Here is a 27619-nt window from a genome sequence, read left to right on the forward strand (position 1 = left end):
CCCTCTGGTGCCTGCCAGGCTGTTGGTTTTTACTATGATTACAGGCAGATGCTTTTCACAACTATCAAGGAGCTGGAGAAGGTGACAAGAATAAGGAATGCCATAGAGCTCAATGAGATTCGGCTGTTTTTCTTTAATAATCACTCCCTGGATTGCTATAAGCATTTGGTCAGTTTCCTGAATTATGAAAAAGTTGATCCTGACAAATTCTGCCAGTTGTTTCACTACTTCCATGGAGATAATTCTCTGTGGTCCTTACTCTGCCATTTTCACTGACATCACCCAGGTTTTCTTTTTCTTTTTTTTTTTTTTTGAGACGGAGTCTCGCTCTGCGGCCCAGGCTGGAGTGTAGTGGCGCAATCTCGGCTCACTGCAACATCCACCTCCCGGGTTCAAGCGATTCTCCTGCCTCAGTCTCCTGAGCAGCTGGGATTATGGGCACCCGCCACCACACCCGACTAATTTTTGTATTTTTAGTAGACAGGGTTTCACCATGTTGGCCAGGCTGGTCTCGAACTCGTGACCTCAGGTGATTCGCCTGCCTCAGCCTCCCAAAATGCTGCGATTACAGGTGTGAGCCACTGCGCCTAGCCAGGTTTTCTTTTTAGACAGTGCTAAGCAAGTTTACCAACTCCATTTCTTGAGATTCTAAGTGAACAGCAGCTATAGCTACCATGAGACTAAACACATAAGAAAAGCATTTCATAAGAAGATTTAATCAAATACATACTAGAGTTAGGGTGTTGACACGTATATCAATAGAATTCTACATAGAACCCAGTAAAAAAGTGATAGACGATTAAAAAAAATCACTCTTTAATATTGCTTTTATGTAGCAAAGAATTTCCAAAGTCAGGCAAGAACACAGGAAAGGGGAACTGTGAAAACCAACAGGAAGCAGTGCTAGGGTTTCTCTTTGGGAGCACAGATTTAGAACCCAAGAAATTCTCCTCCTTCCCTGCACTTACCAACTTTGAATTTTGCTCCTTCCCTACTCTCTGTAGTCCTAGACTCCGTATGCTCCAGGAAAACAATATTGTGATCTGTGTTATTCACCAATATATCTAGGGCAAAGTTTAGTCTCTCACACAGAGGAGTGTTATCAATATTTGATGAATGAGTGATGACCCCCACTGCCAGAATGAAACCGCCCCAAACAAATCAGAAAGGAGTTTGTGACCTCAGCTAAGCCTGTTGGGAAGAATAAGCTCACTACTTAGCTTTCCATAGCTTTGGCTTCTTGGCTGACTGTGAGTCAAAAGCTGTTCACCTTGGCCCAGGCTTTCAACACCTGGCCCAGGGACAGTCTGTCAGATGAGTAAATGTCAAACACCACACTGAGAAATTCATCTCAAGAAATTCAGAAGTTATAAGCGATTAGTCCTGGGAAAGGTCATACTTCAGGGAAAAAAGTTTTAATCACATTTACCTGGCTCCAGAACTGATGTAATTTCCACTGAACTGCACACTTCCTGACCGTTTAGGTTATTCCCTTTGTGGAGACAGATTATGGCTGCCAAATAGCTTGACTGACATCTTTCAACATTTAAATTCTGTATAACTCATTCCCTGAGCAGATTCTATAATTTTTTTTTTTTTTTTTTGAGACAGAGAGTCACTCTTGTCACCCAGGCTGGATTACAGTGACAAGATCTTGGCTCACTGCAAGCTCCGCCTCCTAGGTTCAAGGAATTCTCATGCCTTAACCTCCCAAGTAGCTGGGACCACAGGTGTGTGCCACCACGCCCGGCTAATTTTTTGTATTTTTAGTAGAGATGGGGTTTCACCATGTTGGCCTCGAACTCCTGGCCTAAAGGGATCCGCCTGCCTTGGCCGCTCAAAGTTCTGAGATTACAGGCGTGAGCCACTATGCCCAGCCACATCAAGCAATTTTCTCACTAGAGTTTGGCTTCTGTTTGGCTCTCTAGTGGTTCTGTTTTTCTTTGTAAGTTGGCATCTGGTTTATAAGTGTCACCCTTAAGTTGGTTAATACAAGTCACTGTGCTTGACCAAGAGGAATCCACTCTGCGTCCCCCAACAAGAATGAGTGCATGGATAAGCAAGACTGAGGACTTGCAAGAGGCCTCCTGACAGTCAGCCAGCTCCTGGAAACACCACTCACAACTCTCAACCATGGAAAGTTAGCCCATTTACTTTGGGAGGGTCCCCAAATTACACCATAAGGTGCCTTCACCTATAACACAAATGTATGAAATCTTACCCTGCCTTTATAACGTGAGTAATGACATCTTAAAACAACAGACTATAGCCAAGCCTGCTGGTGCACGCCTGCAATCCCAGCTACTTAGGAGGCTGAGGCACAAGAATCGCTTGAACCCGGGAGCCAGAGGTCCTGGTGAGCTGATACTGCGCCACTGCACTCCAGCCTGAGTGACAGAGCAAGACTCTTGTCTTAAAAACAAAAAAAAAACCCAGAGTAATATGCATTTGCAACTCTTGTCAACACAGAACTAGGCATCTGTCATCCTTGATGGGCACTACAGACACTGGAGCCACAGTCATGGCAAGCCCCAACATTAAAATCAGCAGGATCCATGAAAAAGAATGCTGAATCCAGATACAGAAGGCACAATTCCAATTCCAGCCTTATCACAACCAAATCACAAATTATCCCATCAGCTTCCTCATTTGTAAAACATGGGTAATAGATGACCTAGCTACCACTTTTTAGTATCATCTCAATATTTTCACAGTGTTAGAAAACATCGGCATGGTTGCGTATGCCTGTAGTCCCAGTTAATCATCAAGAGGCTGAGGTAGGAAGATCGCCTAAGCCTGGGGAGGTCGAGGCTGCAGTGAGCTGTGATTGCACCACTGCACTCCAGCCTGGGGAGCACAGTGAGACCCTGTCTCAAAAATAACAATAATAAAAACAAGAAGAAAGAGAAAACAAAGGGATTTCGTCGAAGCTTCCTCCATCTGCCTATGTAGAAAACAGGGCAGATCCAGGCTCCAATATCAGTGCTAACTCCTCTATTCTATAGTTATGAGACCCTGAACAAAGCCCTCTCTGAGCGGAGATCGCACCACTGCGCTCCAGCCTGGGCGACAGAGTGAGACTCCATCTCAAAACAAAACAAAACCAAAAACAGACAGGTTTAATTAGTTAGGTGTGGTGGCACGCGCCTGTAATGCCAGGTACTGGGGAAGCTGAGGCAGGAGAATCGCTTGAATCTGGGAGATGGAGGTTGCAGTGAGCAAAGATTGTGCCACGGGAATCCAGCCTGGACGACAGAGTGAGACGCTGTCTCAAAAACAAAAACAAAAAACCAAAAAACGGACAGGGTATAGGCAATTGTTATTCTTCATAATAACCCTGTCAAGACTTGACAGCTAAGCCCTTCAAGAGGCAAGTTCAAACCAAGACTATGAAAGAAAATTAATTAATTGTGCCCCCAGGTGGAATGCCAGTGAATAATGAATTTGGGTGAGTAGAGACTTGCAAGTGAAGAAAGAATTTTTGGTGTACAAGACACAATCTGAACAACAGCCAATCTCTACAGAGATTGCCAACAAACTACCACCTAGTTTTCAAGGCACAACAGTTTAACTTATCCCTTCATTACTTTGTGAAGTAAGGCAAGCACTTTTATTTCCACCTATGAGGAACTGGGGGTCAGAAGTTACCTGACTTGCCAAAAGTCACACTGTCAGTCCTTGAATGGCAGAGCCTCAGTTTCATAATTTCTAGTACAGCAATGATCACAGACTTATCCATATATTTATTTACCTGGCACTGTCTGTCCTCTGAGACCCTCCGGCTCTTGCCCTCCGTGAAGCAGATACCCTCCTTCTTGTTCTCATTGGCCCTACACTGTGGTTTGAAGATGAAGGTCTCAGGAATTCCAGCATGCCATGAAGTCTCTGCAGTCCGCTGATGAAGTTGGTCATTGAATGCAACGAAGATGCTGGGATGGTGTGATTACCATCAGATCCCTGCCTATGTTGTTCTGAAGTTCTTGGATTGATGTTCTCCACAGTGTCTTCTCCCAAGACCTCCACTTCTGTCAGGTCAACAGACAGTTGCGGAGCAGGCTGGAGCAGGGGTGGTGTCGCTTGGCTGCTGATCACCTCAGCAGGAGCTGGCTGGAGGATGGATGGTACCCCCTGGCTGCTGACCACATCAGCAGGAACAGGCTGGAGGAGGGCTGGTCCCCCTTGGCTGCTGGCCATGCCAGCAGGAGCTGGCTGTTGTTCGGCATGATTTAACTGCACCTGAACATCATATTCCATTGCTTCATGAGCCATCACTAGAGAAACAGTATTTGTAAAAAGTATTAATAAAATAGATAAAACATGCTATGTAGGTGACAGAATCATATTTAATCTTTCTGATTTTATGTTTAATATCATTCTTAGCAAGACTGAGAAGCTTCAAGAGAAGATTTTAACTACTTAAGTCAGAAGTGTTTGGTAATGGACTTTCCTCTCTATAACAAGCATTTATAACCAGTTTTCCGGTTTGCCCTTAGAAAACATGAAGTCCTGTGATCATAGTAGTATCTTCCAAAATAGAAAGATCTATAAACCAAGGAGATTAAACTACTGGGTCTAAAAGTAATCTCTCAGACACTTTGCAGTTCTCTCAAGCTGAATATGGACATTCACCAAAATCAAATGCATATAATGCAGTATCTAATTTTAGCAGGCAATATTAATCTTTCACAGCATCAACAGTTACAAGGGATAAATAGAGAAAGGACATTTTTTACACTTGCAAAATTAACTGTTACTAACTCAAAATGGAAACTTACCTAATGTTTCCAAAAAGGCTGAGCAAACTTTATCCTATCCCTTTCATTATTTTTGTTTTCCATCTCTAATTCCATCATGTTAGCGTATTCAACAAATATTTATTAAGCACCTATGTTCTTTTCATGTTTCCTATCTTTAATTCCATTGTATCAGTTTGAAAACTACCACCTAGTTTTTAAACTAAAAAAAAAAATTTTTTTTTGTTATATAGATGAAGGCTTCCTATGTTGCCCAAACTGGTCTTGAATGCCTGGCCTTACCTCCTCATGCATCAGGACAACAGGACTGAGCCACTGTGCCTCCCTACCACCTAGTTTTTAAAGTACATCAGTATAACTTATCCCCTTAATTACTTTGTGAAGTAAGGCACGTGCTTTTATTTTCATCTGACTTATGAGGAAATGGGGGTTCAACTAATAGTTATTAAGCACCTGTTATGCAGACAAGACACCCTAGAGGCAAAAACAGATAAGACCCCATGTATCAGAGTTTAGATTCTAGCAAGTAAGATGTCAATAAACAAATACATGAAAAAAATTATAGATTATGATGTTTGGGGTTGAGGAGACAAAGAGGACCAACTAAGACACAATTGTGAGGGAAGTACTCTTTTAAAGAGTGAAAATTGGGCTGAGGCATGAAGGATTAAAAGCAGCTGGCTATGCAAAGAGCCAAGAAGAGTCTCAGAAGGAAATCAGTGCATAGGTCCCTGATGAGCATGGGTTTCACTGATGAACAGGACACCATTATTAAAGGGCCTATGGGCCTTGGTAAGGAGTTTCTTCTATGTTAGGAATGCACTGTAGGGGTGCAAGAGCATAAGCTAGGTGACCAGTGTAGAGGCTATTGTGGGAGTCCAGACCAGAGGTCAGAGAGACCTAGGCAAGAGTGGTAGCAGTGGAGATGAAAACAAACAGACAGCTTTAAGAATCTTCAGAATGGTCATGCTTCTTTTTTTTTTTTTTTGAGATGGAGTCTCGCTCTGTTGCCCAGGCTGGAGTGCAGTGGCGCGATCTCGGCTCACTGCAAGCTCCGCCTCCCGGGTTCACGCCATTCTCCTGCCTCAGCCTCCCGAGTAGCTGGGATTACAGGTGCCTGCCACCACGCCTGGCTAATTTTTTGTATTTTTAGTACAGCCGGGGTTTCACTGTGTTAGCCAGGATGGTCTCGATCCCCTGACCTGGTGATCTGCCAGCCTCAGCCTCCCAAAGTGCTCGGATTATAGGCATGAGCCACCGCGCCCGGCCAATACTCATGTTTCTTAAAATCATCAAAGCAGATTAAACCACCTGAGGAACAGAATGACAGAAGAGGGCTGAAGACTAAAGTCAGAGACACTACTGTTAAAAGTACAACAGAGTAAAAGAAGCCAGTTAAGGAAGATTATAAAGTAGGAGGAAACATGGGAATGTGGTGTCTTGGAAAAACAATGTTTCAAGGAAGGAACAATTGAGTGTCAAGTGCTACTGGGGGGAAGAACGGCCGCTAGATTTGGCAACATGAGGATGACAGGTGACCTAAAAAAGCAGTTTCCCTGAAGTGGTGGGGTCAGAGGCCAGACTGGTGCAGGCTGAATAAATGGAAGGAATTCTAATAAACATAGTGGACGAAGTACATATATGTATCTTTCTCTCTCCACTCCAGTCATTCCTAAAACCCACGAACATGACCCCCACAACCTGAGACATTTTTTTAAGAAAGGATAAATTAACCAGGACGACACAAATGCAAACAGGGTATGATATGCAAACCAGTTTTTTAAGGCCATAAAGGAGAAACTGATGATTGATGACTGCTTAGCAGAGCCAAAAGATAAAACTCAAAGCCTGCAAAGGGCACAGTGGTTGGGGTGAGGTGTGTTATTGAGAAGCAAGCTGATTCCCACTAAAGGGACTGTAAAAACCAGGTACCACAAAAGGCAATATTGAAAGATGGCGCTAAAAGAGAAGGGCTGGTTAAAAGCCAGTAAAGCAGTTAGCTTGACTCCTACTCAAACACCAGCCAGCTAAAACAAAACACAGAACAAAGCCCTTCTCCCCCTATGCACGAGAAAACTGGAGGTTTGAACCACACAGGCTTACACTCAGGATGGAGAGTGGCACAGTACTGAAAATAAGTGGGAAAGAAAGTCTGCAAACTGAACAATGTGAGATACTTCAAGTTTTAAACATTTTTTGTATAGATGGGGTTTCCCACGTTGCCTAGGCTGGTCTTCAACTCCTCGGCTCAAGCAACCCTTCTGCCTCAGCCTCCCAAAGTGCTGGGATTACAGGAGTGAGCTACTGCAGCTGCCTAACTAAAAGCTTTTAATGTTTCTAGGGTACAACGACAGTCTCCCAAGAATTGTGTGTCAGAACATAAGGCCCAAGCTACTTCTAGATGTACTCAAGAGACATTAAGCAACTCAGCCTTCAGGAAGACAAAGGGGAGAAATGGACTAAAAAGAGCAGAATCTAGGGGGCCGCACTGTCTACTCCCATATGGTTATTTAAATTAAATAAAAATCAAATTCGGCCAGGAGCTGTGGCCCACGCCTATAATCCCAGCACTTTGGGAGACTGAGGCAGGTAGCTGGAGACCAGGAGTTGGAGACCAGCCTGGGCAACACGGCAAAACCCCGTCTCTACAAAAAATACAAAAAAATTAGCCAGCCGTGATGGTGTGCACCTGTGGTCCTAGCTACTTGGGAGGCTGAGGCAGGAGAACCCCTTGAACCCGGAGAGTGGAGGTTACATTGAGCCGAGATCACGCCACTGCACTCCAGACCGGGAGAGAGAGTAAGACTCCGTCTAAAAAAAGAAAAAAGAAAGAAATAAAATAAGTTCCTTTGTCGTGCAGGTCACATTTCAACTGCTAGAAACACACATAGGGCGGGTGACTCCCATACTGGACAGCAGAAATACAGAACACTTTTCTCGTCGCACAAAGTTCTATGGAACGGTGCAGTTCTGGAGCTGAAGCTTCCTAACCACTGTAGGCCAGTCGGAGGTGCCTAGAACGAGAGACCATGGGCTGGGCACCCCAAACCTTGAGGATGTCACACAAACGCTGTTTTTTATGTGTGCTGTGAGCGGTGCTTAAAATGTCAACCTCAGACTTGTCATCTTTGTTACTCAGGTTTCAATCAATGGCCACAACAGGCAGGACGAAAGCCCCTCAATTAAAGGTTGAGAAGAGGTGGGCGGGGGAAGTGTTCAAATCTTTGCTCTGGCCGGTGCAGAGGGTCACGCCTGTGATCCCTGGACACTGAAATGCCCAGGCGGATGGATCACTTACGCTCTGGTGTTCCAGACCAGCTTGGGCAACACAGTGAAATTCCCATCTCTACCAAAAAAGAAAAATAGAACAGGTCAGGCGCGGTGGCTCACACCTGTAATCCCAGCACTTTGGGAAGCCGAGGGCAGACCACTTGAGGTCGGAGTCCCAGAATGGCCAATATGGTGAAACCCCGTCTCCACTAAAAATACAAAAACTACCCGGGTGTGGTGGCGCATGCCTGTAATCCCAGCTACTTGGGAGGCTGAGGCAGGAGAATCGCTTGAACCCGGGAGGCAGAGGTTGCAGTGAGCCGAGATCGCACCACTGCACTCCAGCAGGGGCAACAAAGCGAGACTCTATCTCAAAAAAAGAAAGAAAAAAGAAAAATAAAACAATGAGCCGGGCGTGGTGGCGCGCACCTGTGGTCCCAGCTATTGCGGGAAGCCGAGGTGGGAGGATCCCTGGGGCCCGGGAGTTCGAGACTGCAGTGAGCTCTTCCAGCCTGGGTGCAACAGGGAGACTTTTCTTTCTTTCTTTCTTTCTTTTTTTGAGATGGAGTTTCACTCTTGTTGCCCAGGCTGGAGTGCAATGGCGTGATCTCAGCTCACTGCAACCTCGGCCTCCCGGGTTCAAGCGATTCTCCTGCCTCAGCCTCCCGAGTAGCTGGGAAATGGGGTTTCTCCATGTTGGTCAGGCTGGTCTCGAACTCCTGGCCTCAGGTGATCCGACTGCCTCGGCCTCCCAAAGTGCTGGGATTACAGGCCTGAGCCACCGCTTTTCTCTTTATAACACCTTTTTCTCTTTATAACAGGAAAAAGGGAGGAAGAGAGAGGGAGAGGGAGAGGCGGAGGGGGAAGAGGAGGGAGAGGGAGACGGGAGGGGAAGGGAGAGAGGGAAAGAAGGAAATTAAATCCCTGTTCTTTTACTACATGGGGAAAGAAAGACATAGATAGATTAGATAGACAGATTAGATAGATAGATAGATAGATAGATAGATAGATAGATAGATTGATTAGATACATAGATATTAAATCCCTGTTCTTTTACTACATGGGGAAACTTTGGGCGGGTTTCCTAAACTCGGCTCAACTTGTTCTCCTGTAAAACAGGGATAATACAAGTCTTTACTCCACAGTTTCCGTGATGAAATTAAAAATGAAGTTCTTCCATCAACTTTAAAGTGATGAAGTAATCGGCGCTCAGAGCGGGCGCAGGCAACGCCGCTGAGGAGCCCGAGGCTAGGCTCTCGGGGGAAGGGCCGGGCGACCTCCCACCCCGGCCAGGGCAGGCCCCGCAGCAGCGAACTCGGCTCCTTCAGTGATCGCCCCGAGCTCTCGCCTGCCCAGCCCCCACGCCCAGCAACCCAGATACGCGCGGGGGTTCGGGCTCCTTAGCCCCGACCACTGGCGCCGCCCCGAGGGCCCGAATCCCCTCAGGCCGCCGGGTTCCAAGCCCGCGTGCAGCCCACCTCGTGGGGTGTCTCCTGAATCCCAATCCAGGAATCAGGCGTGGGGAGGTTTATCCCGAAGCTAGAGGCCCAAGGCCTGAGGAGAAGCAACACCCCTCCTCACCTGAAACCAGCAGGCCGCGGCCGGGCTCGCGAGCCCGCCGAAGACTCGGTAGTTACCTCGGCCGCACTCCGAATGCACCTACGCCAACTGCCACTTCCGGAGCCGCTCAAGCTCCCGCCAGAGCCGCCGGCAGGCATGCTCCTATTGGACAGAAGCCCTACGCTGTGGCCAATACCCACTCTTCTTCTTCAATGGGTCCCCCGATAGCTGAAGCAGCGGTGCTCTCATTGGCTGGTAGTTCGTCCTGACGAGGCGGGACCGCGCTTGAGGAAGCCTCCTACAATTGGCAGGAATCTACGTCCGTCACCTTGCACCCGCCCCGGAAAAAATGGGAGGTTTTTTTGTTTTTTTTTTGTTTGGTTTTTTTTTTTTTTTTTAGCGCGTTTTATTTGAACTTTCTGGCGGGAGAAAGTTATATGATTTCTCGGTCCATTTTGGAATGGGGATGATGATATTAAAACTGACTCCTGCTGCTTATCCCTAACGCTTTAGTGAAGGAGTTATCTGTATCCAAAGGATAGCAGCTAATCGAATAATTTCAAAATATTTCAATATTTTGAATTTCGGAGCCTGTAAAGAGGCGTAGGACAGTCCAGTTCATATGTATCCTCTCATGGGGTTGAAGAGCTCACGCAAAATACTTTGCCTACATAATCTCTTCAATCTCAAACCGCTGCAAGGGATCTGAGCTACTGAACAGTCTCAAATCACTTGTTAGGGCCGCCGCTCGCCGCCAGCGCCAAAAGAAAGGGGCCCCCGGAATTCTCCAGCTACGTACGAGGAGCGCGAGCCCACAGCCGTCTCGGCTCCGAGCCCGCCGCCGGCAGGAAAGCCACAAAGAAAACTGATAAACCCAGACAAGATGATAAAGACGATCTAGATGTAACAGAACTCACTAATGAAGATCCTTTGGATCAGCTTGTGAAATACGGAGTGAATTGTGGTCCTATTGTGGGAACAACCAGGAAGCTGTATGAGAAATAGCTTTTGAAACTGAGGGAGCAAGGAACAGAATCAAGATCGTCTCCTTCAGCAACAATTTCTTCTTCAGCAGAAAATACAAGGCAGAATGGAAGTAATGATTCTGACAGATATGGTGAAAATGAAGAAGACTCTAAATTGGGCTCAAGTTTGAGAAGAGAGAACCGCTAAACAGGGGAGTAAAGACTCCAGTAACCCTCAAGCAAAGAAGAGTTGAGCACAAGGAGAGCTATTCTCAAGCTGGAATAACTGGGACTGAATGGACAAGTGGATCTTCAAAAGGCGGACCTCTGCAGGCATTATTAACTAGGGAATCTACAAGAGGGTCAAGAAGAACTCCAAGCAAAAGGGTGCACGCTTCAGAATATTTTCGTATAGATGGAGCAGTAATTTCAGCGAGTACTCCCATAGCTGAAACTATAATTGCTTCAAACAACGAATCCTTAATTGTCAATAGGGTGACTGGAAATTTCAAGCATGCATTTCCTATTCTGCCAGTCACTGAATTCTCAGACATACCCAGAAGAACACCAAAGAAACCATTGACAAGAGCTGAAGTGGGAGAAAAAAAACACAGGAAAGAAGAGTAGAAAGGGATATTCTTAAGGAAATGTTCCCCTATGAAGCAACTACACCAACAAGAATTAGTGCTAGTTGCCGCAGAACAATCAAAGGAGCTGCAGGCCGGCCATTAGAACTCAGTGATTTGAGGATGGAGGAGTCGTTTTCATCTACATATGTTCCTAAGTATGTTCCCTTGGCAGACGTCAAGTGAGAAAATACAAAAAAAAGGGACGCTCCATTCCTGTATGGATAAAAATTTTGCTGTTTGTTGTTGTGGCAGTTTTTTTGTGTGTGTTTGGTCTATCAAGCTATGGAAACCAACCATGTAAATCCCTTCTCTAATATTCTTCCTGATGACTCTAGAAAACCCAACTGAATGGTATCTCTTTGGCACATTCAACTTGGTCTTGTATTTTTAGTAACTGTGTTGAAGAACATTCGTGTACGCTTTTTGACTCCAAGAACTAAAAATAATGTGATTTTGCCTCAATAAACGTAGTATTCCATTGGAAAGCAAACAAAAGATATATGAATGGACTTTATTAAAATGTTTTTGAACTTTGGACTAGTAGGAGATCACTTTGTGCCATATGAATAATCTTTTTTAGCTCTAGAACTTTTTTTTTTTTAGACAGGGTCTCGCTCTGTTGCCCAGGCTGGAGTGCAATGGCATGATTTCGGCTCACTGCAACCTCCACCTCCTGGGTTCAAGTGATTCTCCTGCCTCAGCCTCCTGAGTAGCTGGGATCACAGGCACGTGCCACTACGCCCACCTAATTTTTGTATTTTTAGTAGCGGTGGGGTTTCACTATGTTGGCCAGGCTGGTCCTGAACTCCTGACCTCAGGTGATCCACCCGCCTTGGCCTCCCAAAGTGCTGGGATTATAGGCGTGAGCCACCGCGCCCGGCCATAATGTTCATGATCTTGATAGAGTTTGGATTACTCATATGTATGCATTTGTCAAAACTCATCAAATGCTATCTTTAAGATTTGTGCATTTCACACAAATTTTTCACAGCAAAAACTTACCTTCCCACCCCCCCGCCAAAAAAAAGCTCATAGAGAGATAAACTCCAGTTAATGGCATAAATGCTGAAGTGTTTAGGAATGAAGTGCATAAAAAATCAGGATGAATTAATGGCTAGAAAGAGGCACAAGCAGATAAATAGGTATGTGATAAAACAAATATAATAAATTGTTAGTTGTAGAATTTAGGTGGTAGGTATATGGTTGTTCAGAGTACAATTGTACTGACTTTTCTGTGTATCTGGAAATTTTCATACATAAGTGTTGGGAAAAATCAGGTACAGGGCCTTGGAAGGCATCCTGTGCAAGTAAAAGGCCCTGAAGATTAAGCTTTATCAGGCTTATAGTAAATTCACCTATAATAATTGTGGGTCTGCCAGAGTATGAATAATTCATCTACCAGGGAGAATTTTCACTGTAACTCCTACAGTAAATAGAACAAATGATTTTAAAGATGAAAACAGTGGCTGGGCATGGTGGCTCATGCCTGTAATCCCAGCACTTTGGGAGGACAAGGTGGGCGGATCCCTTGAGGTCAGGAGTTCCAGACCAGCAGACCCTGCCTCTGAAAAAAAAGAAAAAAGAAAAAAGGAAGGAAGGAAAATAGTAAAATAGTAATACCTGCCAGTAAGTTCTACAAAATAATCATATTAAGTTTATATTCTTCTGCATTTTTTATTTATAGAAAAAAACCATGTTCTAGGTTTTAAAAAAATCAAGGATAAGTAAAAGATAAAAACATAAGGCCGAGTGTGGTGGCTTATGCCTGTAATCCCAGCACTTTGGGAGGCCAAGGTGGGAGTATCACTTGCGCCCAGAAGTTCAAGACTAGCCTAGGCAACACAGTGAAACCCTGTCTCATAATAATAATAATAATAGTAATAGAAATCAGCCATAATTTTCTTCACCAGAGATGATTACTAGAATACAAGACCCAAATGTATTTTTATTGCTGTCTTCTCAGTGATTGAAACAATGGACAGCACATTTGCTGTTGAATGATTTAGAATGAGTTCTGAAAAAAATGTAACTTTAAAGACAGGGATTAGTGTATCCTAGGCAAAGCACACACCATGAACAAAGGTATAAGATCTAAAATGAGACCAGGTGTGGTGGCTCATGTCTGTAACCCCAGCACTTTGGGAGGCCGAGGTGGGCAGATCACTTGAGGTCAGGAGTTCGAGACCAGCCTGACCAACATGGTGAAATGCTGTCTCTACTAAAAATACAAAAATTAGCCAGGTGTGGTGGCACACACCTGTAATCCCAGACACTTGGGAGGCTGAGACAGGAGAATCGCTTGAACCTGCAAGGCGGAGGTTGCAGTGAGCCGAGATTGCGCCACTGCACTCCAGCCTGGCCAACAAGAGTGAAACTCTAGGCCGGGCGCGGTGGCTCACACCTGTAATCCCAGCACTTCAGGAGGCCGAGGCGGGTGGATCACCTGAGGTCAGGAGTTCGAGACCAGCCTGACCAACATGGTGAAACCCCCATCTCTACTAAAAAATACAAAAAGTTAGCCGGGTGTGATGGTGAGCACCTGTAATCCCAACTACTTAGGAGGCTGAGGCAGGAGAATCGCTTGAACCCAGGAGGCAGAGGTTCCAGTGAGCCAAGATTGCACCACTGCACTCCAGCCTGGGCGTGACAGAGCAAGACTCCGTCTTAAAAAAAGAAATCTAGAATGAAAGCACCACAAACATGGGTTTGAGTCTGGCAGGGATTAAAATCTGGCAGCTCCTATGTGGACATATTTTGTTTGTCTTATCAGCATTAAAATAATTTTTTTTTTGAGACAGGGTCTCACTCTGTCACTCAGGCTGGAGTGCAGTGGTGCAATCATGCCTCACTGCAACCTCCGCCTCCCAGGTTCAAACGATTCTCATGCCTCAGCCTCCCGAGTAGCTGGGATTACAGGCATGTGGCAGCCACACCCAGCTAATTTTTGTATTTTTAGTAGAAACAGGGCTTCACCATGTTGGCAAGGCTGGTCTCGAACTCCTGACCTCAGATGATCCTCCCGCCTGGGCCTCCCAAAGCGCTGGGATTTCAGGCATGAGTCACCGTGCCCAGCCTAAAATAATTTTTAATGAGATACTGACCTTTAAAAATAAGGACATCACAGAAAAATCCAACTTTCTAGCTCTTTTGACAAAATGGAAAGCTCTAGAAATGTTGGGATCCCATTCTATGTGACAAAGTATAGACTGGAGTTGAGGAGACGCTGTTCTTGCTCATCTGCCCACTGAAGCCCCCTCCAGGTTCAAATCATTCATTTAGTTTCCTTCCTAGGCCCTATGGGTATTAGAGTTTGCAATCTCTGGTAGGAGAACTCTGGCATCTGATTGGAAAGTCAGGTTGGAAAGTATGGTATGGGGGATATCCATAAGGCTATGGATATCCAAATAGGAAGTTTGTACTTGATTCCTTGGGCAAGAGGAAGAATTGAACAGTTTCTGCCTAGTTACTTCTGTTGTGTAAAAAACCACCACAAAACTTAGTGTTAAGACAACAGTAATTTATTTAGCTCCTGATTGTGTGAATGGGCAATTTGGGCTGGGATCTGCTTGAGTGGTTCTTCTGGTCTTGATTGGCCTCATTCATGTGTTAGCTGCCATGTTGGTTGGGCTAGTATGACTTCAGCTAGGAAAGCATGTTTCTGCTTCATGTGGTCTCTCATTCTCCAGCATGCTCACTCAACATGTTCATGGCTGGGTAAGGTTCCAACAGACATTTATAAGGCCTCTTGAAACCTAGGCTTGGAACTGGCATACAGTCACTTCTTCCACATTCTATTGATCAAATCAAGTCACAGTGCCAGCCCAGATTCAAATGGTGGGGAAAGAGACTTCATTTATGGAAGGGAGGAGCTGCAAATTTCATTGCCAAGAGGTGTGGATACCCAGAAAGATACATTTGACAAACCATCTATCAAAGTTACTGTCAGAGGTATGTTTTTGGAAATATCATTTGGAGTGGGATGTGTCCTGTATGACTGGAATCGTTTTCTATTTGTAACAGAGAAGCGTGCCCACTCCTTGCACCCATAGATAACCCAATGCCGAAGGATATGAGAGAGAGAGATGTCCAGTTTGTGCCTCTCCCAGCTTCTTGTCCAGAGACTCCTTGGTTTAGATTTTGATACACTACTTAGAAAAGGTGGAGAGTTTCTTTAAGATTTCTGTGGATGAATGAACAGAAAATTAGACCAGGGTAGGCAGCTGAGAGCCAAGTTAGAAACACAAAGACATTTCTACATTGCACAGTCATTTAGAAACTGCATTCCCCCTGGTCTGGCTGGTGCCTGAACCACCATCAGCACTCACACATTTGGGATATAAAGTTCTCTTACTTGATCAACTTTTAAAACACAAACACCTCACAGGAGGGGGTAAACTCACATCTTAGTATGAATTACTCTCTGGTGTTAGATTCCTTAATACTAGGAGGACCCTAGGTTGTAAGGGAGCTTGGTAGAAGAAGAAAGAAGACAGAGGAGAGAGTGTAGTGGAGGACAGCATTGTATAAATCACTGTTGGCTTCTCATCCACCCCAAAGACCAATTTTTCAGAACACATCATTAAGTCTGCGCTTCTGCTCTGTGGTGGTGAAGAGAAAGTTTCAGACAGAAACTATGCCGTGACTTTGATTCTTCATTCTGAAAGGTAGGGATGTGGATGAAGGGAGAGGAGAGATGACAGATGAGACCCTCTCAGGTAGTGTGAGAGGTTTTCCCAACAGACCATCTGTGAGAAGGCCTTGAAGAACAGTCCTCATGCTCAAGACTTCTGTAAGCAGACAGAACATCCTTGGAAGCTGCCTCAAAAGTCTGGACTCATGGCTCTTTAGTTCCTTCTTCTTTTCTTTCTTTCTCTTTTGAGACAGAGTCTTGCTCTGTCACCCAGGCTGGAGTACAGTGGCGCGATCTTGGCTCACTGCAACCTTTGCCTCTGGGGTTCAAGCAATTCTCCTGCCTCAGCTTCCTGAGTAGTTGGGATTACCGGTGTGTGCCACTATGCCCAGCTATTTTTTGTATTTTTAGTAGAGATAGGGTTTCACCATGTTGGCCAGGCTGGTGTTGAACTCCTGACCACAAGTGATCTGCCTGCCTCAGCCTCCCAAAGTGCTGAGATTACAGGTGTGAGCCACTGCACCCGGCCCCTTCTCTCTTTTGTCTGGGCTTTGTGGAAAGTCTGGGAGATTTAGGTCTAGGGTATGAGAGAGAGATGCTTCCAGGGAGGGAGACAGTGTAAGGAAGCTATGGAGAAGCAGCTGATGACATGGTGAGATAAAAGTCTGCATCGAGGAAATAATCCCAAGGATGCTGAAAAAAGGAAGGAAGGCAGACAAGGAGGGAGGAAAAAAGGAGAAAGATAGTCAAAAATAAAACAAGAGAGAGGAAAAAGAAGAGAGATAGAAAGACAAAAAGACAACAAGATAATGCTGCTGTGGTGGTGCCTGTTGTCCTAGCTACTCTAGAGACTAAGGCAGGAGGATCACTTGAGCCCAGGAGTTTGAGGCTATAGAGTGCCATGATCCTACCTGTCAATAGCCACTGCACTCTGGCCTGGGCAACATAATGAGACCTCCTCTCTAAAAAAAAAAAAAAAAAAAACCATAAATAGGCAGACAGATAAATAAAGGAAGGAAATAGGCAGGAAGAAAGTAATCTGCCTTTCCAACCCACTTTGGATAAAACAATGCCCTCTGGAAGCCCTTACACTATTGACATTGGGGCTGCCAGAGAGTTCTTTGTGTGGTGGGCTGTCCTATGCGTTGTAGGATGTTGAATAGCATTCTTTTTTTTTTTTTTTTGAGATGGAGTCTTGCCCTGTTGTCCAGGCTGGAGCGCAGTGGCGTGATCCTGACTCTGCAACCTCTGCCTCCTGGGTTCAAGTGATTCTCTTGCCTCAGCCTCCTGAGTAGCTGGGACTACAGGCATGCGCCAATATACTTGGCTAATTTTTGGGTTTTTAATAGAGACGAGGTTTCATCATGCTGGCCAGGGTGGTCTCAAACTCCTGAGCTCAGGCGATCCACCCACCTTGGCCTCGCAAAATGTTGGGATTATAGGCATGAGCCACCGCGCCTGGCCAACATTTTTTTTTTTGAGACGGAGTCTTGTTTTGTCACCCAGGCTGGAGTGCAGTGGTACAGTGGCGTGATCTTGGCTCACTGCAACCTCCCAGTTTCAAGAGATTCTCATGCCTCAGCCTCCTGAGTAGCTGGGATTACAGGCATGTACCACCATGGCTAGCTAATTTTAGTAGAGATGAGGTTTCACCATGTTGGCCAGGCTGGTCTCAAACTCCTAACCTCAAGTGATCTGCCCATCTCAGCCTCCCAAAGGGCTAGAATTACAGGCATGAGCAACCGCACCCAGCCATCATCCTTGGCCTTTATTCACTAGATGACAGTAGCACACTCCATCCTACCTCCCTGGCCTTATGACAAACAACAATGTTTCAGACATCACTAAATGTTCCCCGGATAAAACCACCCCTCGTTGTAAACTACTGCCTTGGAGCTGGTGAAAAGGAAATCTTTCACAAGTGTGAAATAATGATGGGGCTCACGCTCTTTACACCAGAAAGAACCCTACCATCCACAGAGGGCCGCACAGAGGGATCATGGGCCCGGCACTCATCAATGATCTCCCGCAGCTCTGAAGGGCAGTCTTCACCCAGTGGCTCCTGCTGCCGCTTCACAGCCACCAGCTTGCGGATCTTCTCAGAATTACAGCCTGGAAATGATAGCATGAGAGCCTCAAAAAATTGCTCCGCTACTCGTACATCTCTCTGGATGCTGATGGCTGGCATCAGAACTAGGGACTCTGAGTATGGAAACAACAAGAACTTCCAACGATTCCACTGACCAGCCCAGGCAGTTCCCACATTAAACAACAAATTGCCAGGGGCAGCACTGATGGGGAATTTCTGGTCTACTGGAAGGGGACCCAACCTCACCACTGGCTGAGCCAGTCTTCACATTCTTCACCTTGAAACGGGATATCTCCAGTGGCGATTTCCCAGAGGACGATTCCAAAGCTAAAAGAAAACCAAGAAACTGAACAACCATAACTAGTCTCCCCTTTCCCCTGTCCCTCTAGCCACTGCCAGAAAACTCAGTGAATTTTTTGATTACTACCCAATTTCATTCAACAGAGTTGAGTTTAGGTGGTCCTTGGAGGAGTTTGATTTGGGTTTTCCTATTATGCACATCTGAGTTAGAATCTGTACCAGAACGTGAGTGTACCTGTATATTTCAGACTTTACATCATATTGATAAAATACATCTTCCAGTTCCTGAGGTGAGAGATATGCTGTAGATTTGACTCTGTCTGTCTTTTCTCTCGTAGTTCCCAAACTCATGGAAGTCTGTGTTTTCCTCAACTCAAATCCTGCAAGCTAGATAGAGAGGCAACTTAGAAAGAAACAAGCAAGATCTTGGGTAGAGGAGTAAAGGGCAGGGATTGTTGCTACACACAATTGCCAGGGAATTGTCTTTTACCTTAGGGATTTATTTCCTGTCGTGACTTCTGTCTGTGTGGCTACTTTATTGGTTAACATTATGGGTTCAACTTATCACAGTGCAGTGACCAAGAGAAACACAAAGAGATTTCTTCTGTATAAAATGGGGCGATGACAGGGGGGATTACTTGAGATAATGGTTATAAAGCACCAGTAAGACCTGCTAAGTTGTAGTTGTTGCCAGTATGACTATGTTAAAATGTAGGGGTTTCTCAGTTGAGGACTGAACTCCACTCAGTGAGAGTGGAGAGGGGTCATAGAGCCACTGCCTGGCTCGCCTTTTCCCAAAGAAGCAGATGGAAAAATGGCATGGGGGCATCCCCTCTGTGCTATCTGACTTTATGGGGGGTCAGCCTGATCCTTTGGCTTTGGCGTGACGAGTGTGAGTCATCCCCCCAGGCCTGCGCGGTCACCTGGTGTTCTTAAAGAAACTGTAGCACAATCATGACAGCATATGTTCTTGTCCCATGCACACCTGCCATTGACACCATTGGTGTGCTGAAGGCTGCCAGCCCCAAACTCAGCCAGGTACCCAAATCTAGGGGCAATGTGAGAAAAGGGATAAGGCACTTAGATGGCTCATCCCCCTTTCATTCATTCATTCATTCATTTGCTCACACGTTTCCTGAGCACTGACATTCTCTTACATCTAGCGCCGTATGGGATACCAGGGATGAAAGGTGGAATAGCGCATCTTATAGTCAGGCTGCATGAAGAGCGTGAGAGTAGTAGAAACAGTGTTTTGGGAGTACTTATATCACCATCGCAGAGGGGGAAAGGCATCTGAAAGGCAAAAAAGGCCTGTCTGCTATTATTTGAGGGCTGTCTCTGACACTCGTAGGACTGGAAGAAAGAAAACCGTCTATGGATGACAAAGAAAACTGCTAAAATTCTTTTAGCATTTGGGAATTGTGGACACTGAGTTCACAAAATCTTTTCCTCTTCTGTATGAAAATCTGACTTCCAGTGAACTTCTTAGCTCTGTTCCCCTGGAAATCTGATACAGGTAGACTGTCACCTATGGCTCTTAGTAACATTGCTGATGATGAAAATAAAAATGACTGCTGATTGTTAGATTGCTTCTGGGCAGGATCAAGGGGGTAACAGGACTACACAGTAAACAGCTGATGGGAATGCTTTGTAGCAAATTTTTCTTATTTATTTATTTATTTATTTATTTTTTGAGACGGAGTCTCACTCTGTCGCCCAGGTTGGAGAGCAGTGGTGCAATCTCAGCTCACTGCAAGTTCTGCCTCCTGGGTTCATGCCATTCTCCTGCCTCAGCCTCCGGAGTAGCTGGGACTACAGGCACCTGCCACCACGCCTGGCCAATTTTTTGTATTGTTTAGTAGAGACAGGGTTTCACTGTGTTAGCCAGGATGGTCTCGATCTCCTAACCTCATGATCCACCTGCCTTGGCCTCCCAAAGTGCTGGGATTACAGGTGTGAGCCACCGCGCCCAGCCTCTTTTTTATTTTTTGAGACAGGGTCTCATTCTGTTGCCCAGGCTAGGGTATACAGTGGCGTAAACATAGCTCCCTGCAGCCTTGACCTCCTGGGCTCTAGGCATCCTCCTCCTGCCTCACTCTCCTGAGTAGCTGGAATTACAGGTGTGCACCACCATGACTGGCTGATTTTTAAATTTTTTGAAGAGGGGGAGGTCTCACTGTGTTGCCAAGGCTGGTCTTGAACTCTTGGGCTCAAAGTGATCCTCCTGCCTTCCCTTCCAAAGTGCGGGGATTACAGGCATAAGCCACCATGCCTGGCCATGTAGCAGCTCTTTTCTTTTCTTTTTTCTTTTTTTTTGGAGATGGAGTTTTGCTGTTGTTGCCCGGGCTGGAGTTCAACCACGCGATCTCGGCTCACTGCAAACCTCTGCCTCCCGGGTTCAAGTGATTCTCCTGCCTCAGCCTCCTTAGGAGCTGGGACTAGAGGCGTGCGCCACCACACCCGGCTAATTTTTTGTATTTTTAGTAGAGACAGTGTTTCACTATGTTGGCCAGGCTAGTCTTGAACTCCTGACCTCAGGTGATCCACCCGCCTTAGCCTCCCTAAGTGTTGGGATTACAGGCGTGAGCCACCATACCCAGATGTGGCAGCTCTTAAAACAGCAACTCACATGTCACTTGCAGAAACACTGGAAGGCATGCCTGCAGAGTTGTTACCAGAGATGCTGACTCCTGCAGGTCATGGGCTTCTAAGCCTGGATGACCCACACCCACCTAATGGGAGCCTCTTTCTCCAGCACCTGTGGCTCTGACAAAGAGAGTATCTCCTGGATGACTGCGAGGACTCACCCTGGAGGGAAAGGTTTGGCGCTGCTGACATCCTTCTAAGTAACTGAATGACAAGTGTGGCCTAGACCTGTCCTGTGAGTCTGAGTCCTTAAACCTAACAAGATCCCCCATTGTATGTTGTAGGGACATAGAAGTGGTGTCCAGGCATCTAAGGGGAAATGACTTGTAGCCCATCCCTGCTAAATGGGCAGTGAGGGAAGGCAGTCATCAGAACAGGCGGCATAGATGGAGACTGTTGTGTGGTGGGCACACAGAAAGTTGAAGTTAGTTCTGAAACTAAAAAACTAAAATTGAACTCAGTTCTAAAACCAAGGCAAGGCCGGGCATGGTGGCTCATGCCTGTAATCCCAGCACTTTGGGAGGCCCAGGTGGGCGGATCACTTGAGGCCAGGAGTTCAAAACCAGCTGGCCAACATGGTGAAACCCTGTCTCTACTAAAAATGCAAAAATTAGTCAGGAGTGGTGGTGCATGGCTGTAATCCCAGCTACTTGGGAGGCTGAGGCAGGAGAATCGCTTGAACCTGGGAAGCAGAGGTTGCAGCGGGGCGATCTCGCTCACTGCCCTCCAGCTTGGGTGACAGAAAGAGACTCTGTCTCTAAATAAATAAATAAATAAACTAAGACAAGAATCAAGCCTTTCTGAGACACTCGTGCCCCTCTCATAGCACCAGTCATGCAGGTTTGACCCAAAGCGCCCCCGCAAGGCACACTCACCTTCACTTGGTAGCCTTGAGTTACCAGGAAGTTTGAGCTTCTGATTTTTCCGTGGAGTTCAGGTGCTTCTGAATGGTGTAGCCTGACACAGCCAAAGGCGGGGAGCATAAGTACCTTTGCCCAAACTTTCTTTGGGGGACTGACAATCATAACTGGGCTGATGAGGCTGGACAGTACCATGGGTGCCTGTCCACAGTTACACAGGAAAAACTGGGATGTAGAGGCAAGGTTTGAGAATCACAAGCCGTGAGTATAGAACAGAGATGAGATTCATAGCACAAGGGGGCATGACAGCCCTTATGAAGTGCATGCAATCGGGCATCAGGGGTGCCTTTAGGTAGAGAAGGACAACGTTGCCTCTGTGTTGCTTTGCCTGGGAAGTGCTGGGCAGATCCGAGAGCTCAGAGGCATGGCTGGGTGGCTGGACCTTGCTGGGACCCTTCAGGTCAAAGCAGAATGTGAAGCTGGGGTCCCGCTGACTTCCAGACAAGGGCTTTGGTTTCACAAAGCCCCTGCGTCCCAGGTTGGGTTGCACTCATGGTGTCTGCCTGAGCTCAGATTCTCCCAGAAGCAGATCATGAGCCATGATTTGGGCACGAGGGATTTGTATCAAGAAGGTGCTCCCTTGACCAGGCATGGTGGCTTGCGCTTATAATCCCCACACTTTGGGAGACCAAGGTGGATGGATCACTTGAGGTCAGGAGTTTGAGACCAGCTTCGCCAACATGGTGAAACATCATCTCTACTATTAATAAAAATACAAAAAAATAGCTGGGCGTGGTGGCATGTGCCTGTAATTCCAGCTATTCAGGATGCTAAAGCATGAGAATCACTTGCACCCAGGAGGTGGAGTTTGCAGTGAGCCGAGATCACGCCACTATACTCCAGCCTGGGCAGCAAAATGAGGCTCTGTCTCAAAAAAAAAATAACTCCAAAAGTCCCCCAAACAAACAAAAAGAAGGTGCTCCCAGGAGAAATGGTTGAGGGAGTACAGGAAGTAGGATGGCGAAGGAGAAGAAATCAAGCAAGAGGTTGATTTCAGGTGAAATCCCAGGCTCAGGTGGTCTCGCGGAGACCTGTGGGCACAATTACACCTCAGAGTGTGTCCCACAGGAAGCAAAGGAACTGGACTTTTATACTTACACCAGTCAGTGGTTATGGACTGTGTTGGGGAGGGCAGGGACAGATGGATATAAAACTCGTGGGCACTTTCAGCTGTCTATAAGGGTGAAAGGGCTCCAGTGCCCACAGGCAATCCTCTGAAGATTGCAGCTGTGAACTTTCAGCAGCAAAGCATGCCGAGAGGGGGATGGGTAAATAGAGCTGGTAAAAAGGATCAGAGGTCATTTGGAGGGGATATTAACAGTGTCCCCTACAACATCCAAAAATACTTCTCCTTAAACTCACTAGTTTAGGGAGTTGAGAAGAAACAAACTTAATTTCAAATTAATAGCTAAGACAGTGTTTCCAAAAGTGTGGGATAAGGTGGTATGCAAGATTATATAAAGGGAAAATTACTCTCCTTTCAGTTTGCTCCAGTCTTTCTGATTACATCAAGAAGAAAGTCTGCGTTTGGTATTTTTTTTTTGTTTTTTTGTTTTTGTTTTTTGTTTTTTGTTTTTTTATGAGACGGAGTCTCGCTCTGTCGCCCAGGCTGGAGTGCAGTGGCACAATCTCAGCTCACTGCAACCTCTGCCTCCCAGGTTCAAGCGATTCTCCTGCCTCAGCCTTACGAGTAGCTGGGACTATAGGTGCGTGCCATCACGCCCAGCTAATTTTTGTATTTTTAGGAGAGACGAGGTTTCACCGTGTTGGGCAGGATGCTCTTGATCTCTTTACCTTGTGATCTGTCCGCCTCAGCCTCCCAAAGTGCTGGGATTATAGACGTGAGCTACTGCGCCCAGCCTTGGTGTTGGGTATCCTTAACTCTGCCAATATCTCCAATATCTCCATTGTACAAAGAGAATGTGGGTTGGATCACAGAGCTTCTGGCAGGCAGCCTCATCCAGCCAGAATTTAATTACATTGTTTTGGTTTCATTTGTGGTTACCTATTTTTGGCAAGTGACACTGGTTTTCAATTTATGGTAGTAAGAGAAAGTGTCCTTTTTAAAAGCTTTATTTCAATTATTATTATTATTTTTTGAGATGGAGTCTTGCTTTGTCGCCCAGCCTGGAGTGCAGTGGTACGATATCAGTTCATTGAAACCTCCGCCTCCTGGGTTCAAGTGATTCTTGTCCCTCAAGCCTCCTGAGTAGCTGAGATTACAGGCCTGTGGCACCATGCTGGGCTAATTTCTGTATTTTTAGTAAAAACAGGGTTTCGCCACGTTGGCCAGGCTAGTCTCCAACTCCTGACCTCAAGTGATCCACCTGCCTTGGCCTCTCAAAGTGCTGGGATTATGGGCGTGAGCCACTGGGCCAGGCCTTTATTCCGATTTTTAAAAAGTGAGTCAATGTAATGAAAAATGTTAAGTAAATAACACTGGTAGTAGTATAGTTAAAACCCTGCAGATGGTTTGTGAGTGACTAACCTTTGGGGACCCTTGGGACTAAGAATCCATAGATTCTGCAGGTGAGAATAGGTAGAGTTGCCAAATAAAACACAAGACACGGCCGGGCGCGGTGGCTCACACTTGTAATCCCAGCACTTTGGGAGGCCGAGACAGGTGGATCATGAGGTCAGGAGATCGATACCATCCTGGCTAACATGGTGAAACCCCGTCTCTAATAAAAATACAAAAAAATTAGCCAGGCGTAGTGGCAGGCACCTGTAGTCCCAGCTACTCGGGAGGCTAAGGCAGGAGAATGGCATGAACCTGGGAGGCAGAGGTTGCAGTGAGCCGAGATCGTGCCACTGCACTCCAGCCTGGGCAACAGAGGGAGACTCCATCTCAAGAAGAAAAAAAAAGAAAAGAAAAAAACACAAGACACTCCATTAAATTTGAGTTTCTGATAAGCAATGAATATATAGATTCACGTACACGCATATATATATGTACAAGCATGCCCACAAATTGTATAGGACATAGTTGTACTAAAAATAAATGTTTATCCAAAATTTGAGACTGGGTGCAGTGACTCATGCCTGTAATCCCAGCACTTTGGAAAGCTGAGGCAGGAGGATTGCTTGAGCCCAGTAGTTCGAGACCAGCCTAGGCAGCATGGCAAAACCTTATCTCTACAAAAAATATATATAAAAAAAAAACTGGCTGAGTGTAGTGGTGTGCGCCTGTAGTCCCAGCTTCTCAGGAGGCTAAGGTAGGAGAATCCCTTCAGCTCGGGAGGTTAAGTGATCTGTGATCATATCAGTGCACTCCAGTCTGGGCAAGAGAGTGAGACTCTGTCTCAAAACATAAAATAAAATTTGATATTTTTGATATTTAGTATAAGTATATACCATGCAATGTTTAGGATGCACTTATACTAAAAAATGATTCATTACTTTCCTAACGTTCAAATTTAACTGGATATGTTCATTTTTATGCTAAATCTGTCCACTCCAAAATTAGGGCTCATCCAACTCTATAAGTGCAGTGTGGACATCAATTTCAACCGTCAGTTCTGGGAGCTGGTGTTCCCTGGGTTAAGCCTCTTTCCTCCCTCCTATCTGTAATCAGAGTAAATAGTAAAACAGTGTATGGGAGGGAGACTGTCTGGGGCGTCTGGCCTGTTCTCTCACCATCTCTGGGAGTATCAGGAGTGTGGACAGACCCATCCAACCCTTAGTGGCGCCTTTTCACCCCGTCTTACCGGTATAGGCCTCGGGCTGCCCCCAGGACTAGGACCATGCGCTTGCCAAGTGTGAGGTCTTTTTCCCTATCCAACAGCTCCCTCAGGGTCCCGAGTTCACAGTACTCCATGACAATGGAGAATTGAGGCGGAGTCACTGGTGGAAAGGAGCCAGACACTATGAGGACCCGCCCTACTTGAAGCTTCCCATGTCTGCAGCCCACCTCTCCCAGCCTCGGTACAGATACAGACTTGGCTCTGCTGAGTCCCATTTCTCCCCCAATCCTCAGCCCACAGTTTTGGTCCCCGGCCTCCTTGAATGGACCAAATATGCCCAGAATTCCCATCCTCTTCTCCATAATACTTGGCTTGTCGTAATTCTACCTTAAAAAAAAAATTGGCTGGGTGCGTTGGCTCATGCCTGTAATCCCAGCACTTTGGGAGACCAATGTGGGTGGAACACAAGGTCAGGAGTTTGAGATCAGCCTGGCCTACGTGGTGAAACCATGTCTCTACTAAAAATACAAAAATTAGCTGGGTGTGGTGGCAGGTGCGTGTAATCCCATCTACTTGGGAGGCTGAGGCAGGAGAATCACTTGAAGCTGCGTGGCAGAGATTGCACCACTGCACTCCAGCCTGGGCAACAGAGTGACACTACATCTCAAAAAAAAAAAAAAAATGTTCTGCCAGGTGTGGTGACTCACGCCTGTAATCCTGGCTCTTTGGGAGGCTGAGGCTGGTGGATCACTTGAGGCCAGGAGTTCGAGACCAGCCTGGCCAACATGATGAAACCTCGTCTCTATGAAAAATGCAAAAATTAGCCAGGTGTGGTGGGACATGCCTGTAGTCCCAGCTATTAGGGAGGCTGAGGCAGGAGAATTGCTTGAACCTCGGAGGTGGAAGCTGCAGTAAGCATATTGTACCACCGCACTCCAGCCTGAGTGACAGAATGAGACTCTGTCTCAAAAAAAAAAAAAAAAAATTCTTTTTCTTTTTCTTTTTTAACTTCTATCTCCCTTTCTTGGTATAATTCAAAATTTTCTTGAGCAGTTATTTGGCGAATGTCTTCCTCACTCAACTGGATTCCCAAGAAGGCAGGAAATGTGTCTGTCTTGTTCACATGGGTGCTCACAAGAAGCTTCGTACATCTGTGTGGGAGGAATGAGTAGGGCACACATGGCAGGGGCGGGTGAGGACTCAGACAAGAAGTCGACTTCCCCATTCATGGGCCTGAGCTGCAAAACTGACATGTGACTGAGCCAGGCACCTCAGCGGTCCCCAAGGAGAACAAACGTTGCTGAACATTTGTCTTTATTTTTTATTTTTTAATTTTTTTGAGACAGAGTCTAGCTCTGTCACCCAGGCTGGAGTGCAGTGGCATGATATTGGCTCACTGCAACCTCCGCCTCCCAGGTTCACGCAATTCTCCTGCCTCAGCCTCCCGAGTAGCTGGGACTACAGGCACCCACCACCACGCCCAGTTAATTTTTATATTTTTAGTAGAGACAGGGTTTTATCATGTTGGCCAGGCTGGTCTCAAACTCCTGACCTCAGGTGATCCACCTACCTTGGCCTCCCAAAGTGCTGGGATTACAGATGTGAGCCACCGTGCCTGGCCTACGTTTCCCTTTAGATTGGGATTCCACACTCTGAAATCAAGTTGGCCTGAGGCTGTGGAGCAACTTCCAAAGGGGATAAGACAGGAGTTGCTCTGTCCAATCTCTAGGCAAGACGGCAGCAAAACATGACCAGCAGGAGGGGTCATTCCATGAGAGAAAATGCAGTCACATTGGGAAAAAAAGAAAAAAAAAAAAAAAAAAAGAGCCTGTCACATAAGGCTCTTGGTAGAGGGGTAAAGTAATGGTTTTTTTTTTTGTTTGTTTGAGACAGAGTCTCACTCTGTCACCCAGGCTGGAGTGCAGTGGCATGATCTCGGCTCACTGCAAACTCCGCCTCCCAGGTTCAAGCAATTCTCCTGCCTCAGCCTCCCGAGTAGCTGGGACTAGAGGCATGTGCCACCACATCCGGCTAATTTTTTGTATTTTTAGTAGAGACGGGGTTTCATCATGTTGGCCAGGACGGTCTCAAGCTCCTGACCTTGTGATCCACCCACCTCAGCCTCCCTAAGTGCTGCTGAGCCACAGCGCCTGGCCAGGTAAGTTAATTTTGC

The 27619-nt window shown here is 46.1% G+C and overlaps 2 protein-coding genes and 1 pseudogene across 26 annotated transcripts in view, besides 2 other annotated features; 1 reads left to right on the forward strand and 2 right to left on the reverse strand.

Moving 5' to 3' along the window:
- The window catches only part of RFWD3 (ring finger and WD repeat domain 3), a 45479-nt gene extending 35782 nt beyond the window's left edge, over window positions 1–9697 (reverse strand). For 4 of the 15 annotated variants that reach the window (NM_001370543.1, NM_001370542.1, XM_006721228.4 and 1 more), the window contains exons 1-3: window positions 9606–9697; window positions 7444–7565; window positions 3752–4271 (exon numbers count right to left, since the gene is read on the reverse strand). Coding sequence is in view for 9 of the 15 variants with exons in the window: in XM_006721228.4 (XP_006721291.1) it covers window positions 3752–4269 (518 nt within the window). In the remaining 6 variants the exon portion in view is untranslated. Of the gene's footprint in view, window positions 1–3751; window positions 4274–4775; window positions 7321–7443; window positions 7566–8052; window positions 8101–9605 lie in introns of those variants that run through there. The other 11 variants (NM_001370539.1, NM_001370536.1, NM_018124.4 and 8 more) reach the window with 7 other exon arrangements.
- Window positions 9227–9376: a silencer, noted in NCBI's record as "silent region_7699". NCBI's record gives its function as "represses an Ori minimal core promoter by ATAC-STARR-seq in GM12878 lymphoblastoid cells {active_cell/tissue: GM12878}" and the evidence as "EXISTENCE:reporter gene assay evidence [ECO:0000049][PMID:35858748]".
- On the forward strand, window positions 10324–11723 carry TMPOP2 (thymopoietin pseudogene 2; annotated as a pseudogene).
- Window positions 11724–14674: 2951 nt separating this feature from the next.
- Window positions 14675–27619, reverse strand: part of MLKL (mixed lineage kinase domain like pseudokinase) — a 29008-nt gene continuing 16063 nt past the window's right edge. For 2 of the 11 annotated variants that reach the window (XM_005255834.5, NM_152649.4), the window contains 6 exons: window positions 25471–25606; window positions 21719–21800; window positions 18433–18584; window positions 18175–18224; window positions 17780–17920; window positions 14675–15358 (listed from right to left, as the gene is read on the reverse strand). In XM_005255834.5, coding sequence (XP_005255891.1) covers window positions 15324–15358; window positions 17780–17920; window positions 18175–18224; window positions 18433–18584; window positions 21719–21800; window positions 25471–25606 — 596 coding nt within the window. In that variant the 3' untranslated portion in view covers window positions 14675–15323. Of the gene's footprint in view, window positions 15359–17779; window positions 17921–18143; window positions 18225–18432; window positions 18585–19120; window positions 19246–21718; window positions 21801–25470; window positions 25607–27619 lie in introns of those variants that run through there. The other 9 variants (XM_047433704.1, NM_001142497.3, XM_047433705.1 and 6 more) reach the window with 9 other exon arrangements.
- Window positions 24887–25085: a silencer, noted in NCBI's record as "fragment chr16:74715965-74716163 (GRCh37/hg19 assembly coordinates)". NCBI's record gives its function as "represses an EF-1alpha promoter that drives an FKBP-Casp9 reporter gene in an ReSE screen in K562 erythroleukemia cells {active_cell/tissue: K562}" and the evidence as "EXISTENCE:reporter gene assay evidence [ECO:0000049][PMID:32094911]".

This window comes from Homo sapiens, chromosome 16 (genome assembly GCF_000001405.40).
Source record: "Homo sapiens chromosome 16, GRCh38.p14 Primary Assembly".
NCBI lineage: Eukaryota > Metazoa > Chordata > Mammalia > Primates > Hominidae > Homo > Homo sapiens.